The 7176-nt window shown below is 52.5% G+C and overlaps 3 annotated features.

Moving 5' to 3' along the window:
* Positions 1-527: an enhancer, noted in NCBI's record as "H3K27ac-H3K4me1 hESC enhancer chr22:38679509-38680035 (GRCh37/hg19 assembly coordinates)". NCBI's record gives its function as "activates a minimal SCP1, AML or CMV promoter by ChIP-STARR-seq in naive H9 embryonic stem cells {active_cell/tissue: H9 hESC(naive)}" and the evidence as "EXISTENCE:reporter gene assay evidence [ECO:0000049][PMID:30033119]".
* Positions 5753-6462: an enhancer, noted in NCBI's record as "H3K27ac-H3K4me1 hESC enhancer chr22:38685261-38685970 (GRCh37/hg19 assembly coordinates)". NCBI's record gives its function as "activates a minimal SCP1, AML or CMV promoter by ChIP-STARR-seq in naive H9 embryonic stem cells {active_cell/tissue: H9 hESC(naive)}" and the evidence as "EXISTENCE:reporter gene assay evidence [ECO:0000049][PMID:30033119]".
* Positions 6463-7170: an enhancer, noted in NCBI's record as "H3K27ac-H3K4me1 hESC enhancer chr22:38685971-38686678 (GRCh37/hg19 assembly coordinates)". NCBI's record gives its function as "activates a minimal SCP1, AML or CMV promoter by ChIP-STARR-seq in naive H9 embryonic stem cells {active_cell/tissue: H9 hESC(naive)}" and the evidence as "EXISTENCE:reporter gene assay evidence [ECO:0000049][PMID:30033119]".

Here is a 7176-nt window from a genome sequence, read left to right on the forward strand (position 1 = left end):
TTTGTTTTTGAGATGGAGTCTTGCTCTGTCACCCAGGCTGGAGTTCAGTGGCGTAATCTCAGCTGACTGCAACCTCTGCCTCCTGGGTTCGAACAATTCTCCTGTCTCAGCCTTCCAAGTAGCTGGAACTACAGGCGTGTGCCACCACGCCCCGCCTAATTTTTGTATTTTTAGTAGAGACGGGGTTTCACCATGTTGACCAGGCTGGCCTCTAACTCCTGACCTCAGGTGATCTGCCCGCCACGGCCTCCCAAAGTGCTGGGATTACAGCTGTGAGGTTTGCCTTCTTAAAGGGGCAGTGCTCCTCCCACAGCTTCAGGGCTGAACCCTCTGCTTATCCCATCAGCCCTTCCTGCACCGGCAACCTTGGTGAAGTCAAACACTGGATGTTTACCTTCCTGAACCTCAGCAGGCTACGGGACACCACTTCACGTGGGCCACTTGAAAGGATAGAGAGCTGCTGTTGGTGCCCAAGGCTAGGGTGAAAGAAGAGGAGGACAGAGGGAGGAGAAGGAGAAAAAGACGGCTTCATGGCAACCTTTATCCTGCACCTGGGCATTTCTCCCTCCCTGACCCACATGCAGGCGGGAAATAGGCAGACCCTGGAGAAGGCTGCTTTGAGAACAAATTACGGATGCCTGGTCATTGGGCAGAGTGAGGTCAGAGCTTGGAATGTGTGGACTTCTCCAATGACCAGTTGTGTTCCTGTGGGCGCTTGTGCTGTAGGCTCTGGGAAAGAGGCCATGGGGACTGAGCATTCTTAGCCATAACTGTTTCCACATCTGTTTCTGAAATAAAGCAGAGATGAGAGGAGGGAGGAGAGGACGGGAGAGAGAGAATATTTCACTTTGCTATAACACTTTGCATTGCTCACCAAGCGCAGTGGCTCATGCCTGTAATCCAAACACTTCAGGAGGCTGAGGCTGGAGGATGGGTTGAGCCTAGGAGTTTGAGACCAGCCTGGGCAACATAGAGAGAACCCTGTCTCTACCAAAAAAAAAAAAAAAAGGAAAAATTATCCAGGCATGGTGGTGCATGCCTGTGGCCCTAGCTAGTAGAAGGATCACTGGAGCCTGGGAGGTGGAGGCTATAGTGAGCCATGATCCTGTCACTGCACTCCAGCCTGGGCAGCAGAGCAAGACCCTGTCTCAAATAAATAAATAAATAAAAATAATGCTGCACTAAAGGGGCTTCCATTGGAGCTGCTTCAGGGGTCTGCCTGATCCATTCTCCCTTAGGAAACCCTGGGTTGGGAGCACCAAGGGTAGGAAGCGGGCAGGCAGTGAATGGAGAGGGGATGCTACCCCCTAGGAGCAGGCCAGTGACTTCAGGAGCTTGTATTTTTATTTATTTATTTATTTATTTTGTTTGTTTGAGACGGAGTATCGCTCTGCTGCCAGGCTGGAGTGCAGTGGTGCGATCTCAGCTCACTGCAATCTCCACCTCCCAGGTTCAAGCGATTCTCCTGCCTCAGCCTCCTGAGTAGCTGGGATTACAGGCACTCACCACCATGACCAGCTAATTTTTGTATTTTTAGTAAAGATGGGGTTTCACCATGTTGGCGAGGATGGTCTCAATCTCCTGACCTCGTGATCCGCCTGCCTCAGGCTCCCAAAGTACTGGGATTACAGGCAGAAGCCACCACGCCCGGCTGGAGCTTGTATTTTTGAAGGAGATAAAAAACAGAGGGGAGGTGACGAGACCAAGTGCAGAGGAAACCCAGCCCCTTCTTTTGTCCCAGGTCAAAGTCTCCCTGGTCCCTCCCCTCCTTCCTTTTCAGAATCTTTTGCTGTCTACTCTTGGACACCCCCAGCTCAAGAGTTCTGTGGCCTCCAAAACACTTGCAGGCCTCTTCGACCTCACAACAAACTCCTCCCACCAGCCGAGCCTGTGAGAGTGTCCCAGCTCAGGCCTTCCTCTTCCTCTCTTGAGCTCCAAGCCTCCCTTCTCACTCCGCACATAACCTGTGATAGAACTTAGAGGAGTGGATACCTGTGTGTGTATGGGGGAGCGGGGTGTGGAAGGGAAGGGGCATGAGGAGATGTGCTGGAATATTAACAAGCACCTACATCTTCATCCAGGCAGTGACTACACGGGAGTAGAAAAACGTACACTCCAGGCCACGTGTGGTGGCTCATGCCTGTAATCCCAGCACTTGGGAGACTGAGGCAGGTGGATTGCCTGAGGTCAGGAGTTCGAGACCAGCCTGGCCAACATGGTGAAACCTCATCTCTACTAAAAATACAAAAATTAGCTTGTTGTGGTGGTGTGTGCCTGTAGTCCTAGCTACTCGGGAGGCTGAGGTAGGAGAATTGGAGGTTGCAGTGAGCCGAGATCGCCACTCCAGCCTGGGCAACAGAGCAAGACTCCGTCTCAAAAAAAAAAAAAAGGGAAAAAGGAAAATGTACGCTCAAGATGTGTGCATTTTTCTGTGCATAAATTACAATTCAATTTTTTAATTTTTATTTTTGAAAATAGAGATGGAGGCTCACTATGATGCCTAGGCTGGCCTTGAACTCCTGGGTTCAAGTTATTCTCCCACCTCAGTCTCCCAAATTGCTGCAAGTATGACCCACTACACCTGGTCTATAATTCTTTTTTTTTTTTTTTTGAGACAGAGTCTCGCTCTTGTCACCCAGGCTGGAGTACAATGGCACAATCTTGGCTCACTGCAACCTCTGCCTCCCGGGTTCAAGCTATTCTCCTGTCTCAGCCTCCCAAGTAGCTGGGATTACAGGCATGCACCACCATACCTGGCTAATTTTTGTATTTTCAGTAGAGACGGATTTCACCATGTTGGCCAGGCTGGTCTTCAATTCCTAACCTTAGGTGATCCACCTGCCTCAGCCTCCCAAAGTGCTGGGAATAGCAAGGCGTGAGCCACCATGCCTGGCCCTGTAATTCAATTTTGAAAAGAGGGTAATCGGGGGAAATGGCCAGGCAGGGCCCCTTTTTGCCAGCCTTGCCTTTCCCACTACCCTGTTGCTTTGAGCTGACCAGCCGCCTCCCGATGCCCCACTCCTCTGGCTGAGCACCTCTCTTGCTGGCTGCCCCTCCTTGGCTTGGGGCTGAGAATATGCCCCTCCCCTACCCAAGCTAGCTTCCCATCAGTGATCCTGCCATGCTCGTGGTCCCAGGACCCCAGGCTGGCAGCCCCAGAGCCTCTCGATTTCTCCCTGTCTCTCATTCTGCTAAGAACAGACCGGCTGGGCGCAGTGGCTCCTGCCTGTAATCCCAGCACTTTGGGAGGCCAAGGTGGGTGGATCACAAGTTCAGGAGTTCGAGACCAGCCTGGCCAACATGGTGAAACCCCGTCTCTACTAAAAATACAAAAATTAGCTAGGCATGGTGGCGTGCGCCTGTAATCCCAGCTACTTGGGAGGATTGCTTGACCCTGGGAGACGGAAGCTGCAGTGAGCCAGGATCTTGCCACTGCATTCCAGCCTGGGTAACAGAGCGAGACTCTGTCTCAAAAAAAAAAAAGAACAGATCTTGTTCTGAAGCAGTTCAGTCATCCTGGCCTCCCGGACACCTCGTGCCTGGGTCGTGACCTCAGCTCCCTAAGCCTTCTTCCTGCCTCCTTTCTCTGTTCTCCAATCTCCCTGCCCACTGTTGCCAGATTCACATTCCCCAAGTTAACTTCCATCGTGCCCCTCCCCCAGCAGCAGCTCCCCAAGGTCCAGGAGGTGCTGCCTGATGGAAGTCAGGCGAGTGGGCCCGGAAGGGGTCAGGCTAAGGGGGCATAACAGCCTCTGTGCAGACAATTCTCCCCATGTTACAGATTAGGAAATCAGGGCTCAAGAAGGCCGAGCTGCTTGCAGCTAGGGAGTGGGAGAGCTTTCTGGATGCAAGCCTGCTTCTGCAGGATCGGACTTCTCCAGCCTCAGCCACTGTGACTTGTCTCCCTCCCACTCCGTTTGGACCTCCCTGAGTATCTCATGCTAGTTCTTACCTCTGGGCCTTTGCACATGCTGTTGCCTCTGCTGAGAATGACTTTCCCTAGCAAAATCCCACTCACATCTCAAGGCTCAGGCCGAGTACCTTTGAAACACCTTCCTTGATGATACCAGACACATTCCCACCCTCCTTTGTCCTGAGTTCACACTAGGCCTCTCACACTGGATTCTGGATTGGGGTGAACCACTTGCTACTCTGAGTCCTTCCCCTGACTAGGCCATGAGTCCCTGGAAGGAAGATTCACACTTCATGTTTGAAACAAGGAGTTATCCCAACAGAGCGCTTAGGAGGCACCTGGGACTGTGGAGTCAATGTTAGCAGCATGGGCTGTCGAGCCAGGGCATCTTTTCTGTGCCTCAGGGTCCTCATCTATAAAATAGGGATCATATGGCTGGGCACGGTGGCTCACGCCTGTAATCCCAGCACTTTGGGAGGCTGAGGTGGGTGGACCACCTGAGGTCAGGGGTTCGAGACCAGCCTGACCAACATGGAGAAACCCCGTCTCTACTAAAAATACAAAATTAGCCTGGCGTGGTGGCGCATGCCTGTAATCCCAGCTACTCGGGAGGCTGAGACAGGAGAATCACTTGAATCTGGGAGGCGGAGGTTGCAGTGAGCCAAGATCGTGCCATTGCACTCCAGTCCGGGCAATAAGAGCGAAACTCCATCTCAAAAAATAAATAAAATAATATAAGGAACATAATACGTTAACCTCGCAGTCTTTTTGGGAGCAAAGGGTTGGAAATGGCCTGGCACAGGTGAACCCTCAATGAGCTTAGCCCTTGTGTTCATCTGAGGTCTCACTGAATTCTGGCAACCCTCAGAAACAAGCATCATCAGCCGGGCGCGGTGGCTCCTGCCTGTAATCCCAGCACTTCGGGAGGCCGAGGAGGGTGGATCACGACGTCAGGAGATTGAGACCATCCTGGCTAACACGGTGAAACCCCATCTCTACTAAAAATACCAAAAATTAGCCGGGCGTGGTTGGGGGTGCCTGTAGTCCCAGCTACTCGGGAGGCTGAGGCAGGAGAATGGCGTGAAACCAGGAGGCAGAGCTTGCAGTGAGCCGAGATCGCGCCACTGCACTCCAGCCTGGGCGACAGTGCGAGACTCCGTCTCAAAAAAAAAAAAAAAGAAAGAAACAGGCATCATCACCTCCACATTACAGAGGAGGAAACTGAGATGTGCCCGAAGCCCCCAGGATGCCAATCCTGTGCTCCCAACCCTCCACGCCTGCACCACCTCCAGCCTAGTAGCTGGCACCCTGGTGCCCACACAAAAGCCCAGTTAGCAAGTGTTTTTTGTGGCATGAATGAAAATGACTCACCAGGTGCCTGTTTGCCCCCTCTGGTAGGGGCAAAATTTCCTTGTGATTATTTGGTGTACTTAAACTGTATGGTTGACGCATTAATGTCACTTCCTTAGAGGCTGTCAGTCACTGCCCACTCCCAAACATTAGCTCTCTAAGAAAGGAATGCAGGAAGAAGCATGATGGGTAGAAATGGGGCAGAGCAGCAGGGGCGGGAGGGATTCTCAGATTATAGCTTTTTAGACAGCTTGACTTTCGTGTATGTAAACACCTTCATATCCAAAAAATAAACCAAAAAAGAGGAGGGGGAGAAGCATTAGCTTATTATTAAAATTGATTAAATAGGGTGGGCACAATGGCTCATGCCTGTAAATCCAGCACTTTCGGAGACTGAGGTGGGAGGATTGCTTGAGCCCAGGAGTTCAAGACCAGCCTGGGCAACACAGTGAGATCTAATCTCTACAAAAAATACAAAAGTTAGCCAGGCATGGTGGCACGCACCTGTGGTCCCAGCTGTTAGGGAGGCTGAGGCAGGAGGATCCCTTGAGCCTGGGAAGTTGAGGCTGCAGTGAGCCATGACTTCACCACTGCAGTCCAGCCTGGGTGACAGAGCAAGATCCTGTCTCAAAAACAAAACAAAACAAAAAAAAAAACAAAACTATACTTTTCACTGTAAAAGACAAAGACCAGCTCCTTATTATTTTCTCTCAGGGCCTCTAGTTGGTAACTTCCACTCGCTGTCTGGTGTCAGGTTGTCCATCCCAGAAGGTCCTAAAGTCCAGGGAGGCAGGGGAACTCTCTGCTGCATTCCCCCAGCACCTCATTCAACCAAGTGCGGGTGAACAAAATGGCTCTTCGCAGGCTGACCAATTGACCACTGACTCCTGGCTGCCACCCAGCCCCAAGGCCCAGGCTCTGCTTAGCACCTGCCATTCCAGGGCCTACTGGCATTTCCTGGCTTTGGTAACACACCTGATACCTGATGCCTGTAAAGGGGACCCACCTTTACTTGGGCCTCACACAGCAGGAAACCCTCCACCAGGCCGTGAGCCTGTGGGTCACTGGGTCTTGACGGCCAGCACTGGAAGGCGCCTTGACCTATGTCCAGGATTTCAAAACGCCCGAGGGGAACCTCCCAGGGCCCTCCATCCGCTTCCCAGGCAGACCTATCAGCCAGACAGCTTCCGTCTTGCCTCTGGGTTGAGACTGTGGCAATAATGGCTCTTCGGTTGACGAAAGGAAGTAAACTGTGTTGGGTAAATGCAGATGGACAGATTCTTTTCCAAGCTGGTGAGACCAAGGCAGGCGAGGCTGAGCGCTGCCCTTTTATCAAGGCTTGACTGAAGGACCTCATCCAGAGTCACTATCAGAGCTCGCTCCAGCACTCTCCTTCATGGAGCCCCAGGGTCAGCAGTGGAGAGGGTCAGAGCACCCCCACAACCCCCACAGCGAGATGACCTCGGCTCGTCTTGCCTCTGCCACCAGAGCTGTGACTGTGGGCAAGATATTTTACAGCAGGACCAGTTTCTTGTCCGAAGGCAGGGCTATTAACAGGACCTAACTCAGGATACTTGTGTGGATAAAATCATGTGTGAAGAGCTTTTAGGGCCTTGCTTCTCAAAGAGGGGCCCCAGGCCATCAGCACACCTGGAGTGTGCAGGGGGAAGCTCTCAGCCCCACCCCAGCCCTCTTTACAAGACCCCCGCGTGGCACCTGTGGCGTGGCACCTGTGTGCACTCGTGTTTTCAAAGCCCCCGGACATCCCAACCACAGCCCAAGTGTTCTGAAAGTGGCCCCAGCCACACCTGCCTTCAGGGCGAGGGCTTGTTCCTCACTGACTCCTGCTGCTCCCAGCAAGACCCACTTCCGGGTCTGCAGGGAGAGGCCCTAAGGGCACAGAGGTGGACAAA

Source organism: Homo sapiens, chromosome 22 (genome assembly GCF_000001405.40).
Source record: "Homo sapiens chromosome 22, GRCh38.p14 Primary Assembly".
Classification (NCBI taxonomy): Eukaryota; Metazoa; Chordata; class Mammalia; order Primates; family Hominidae; genus Homo; species Homo sapiens.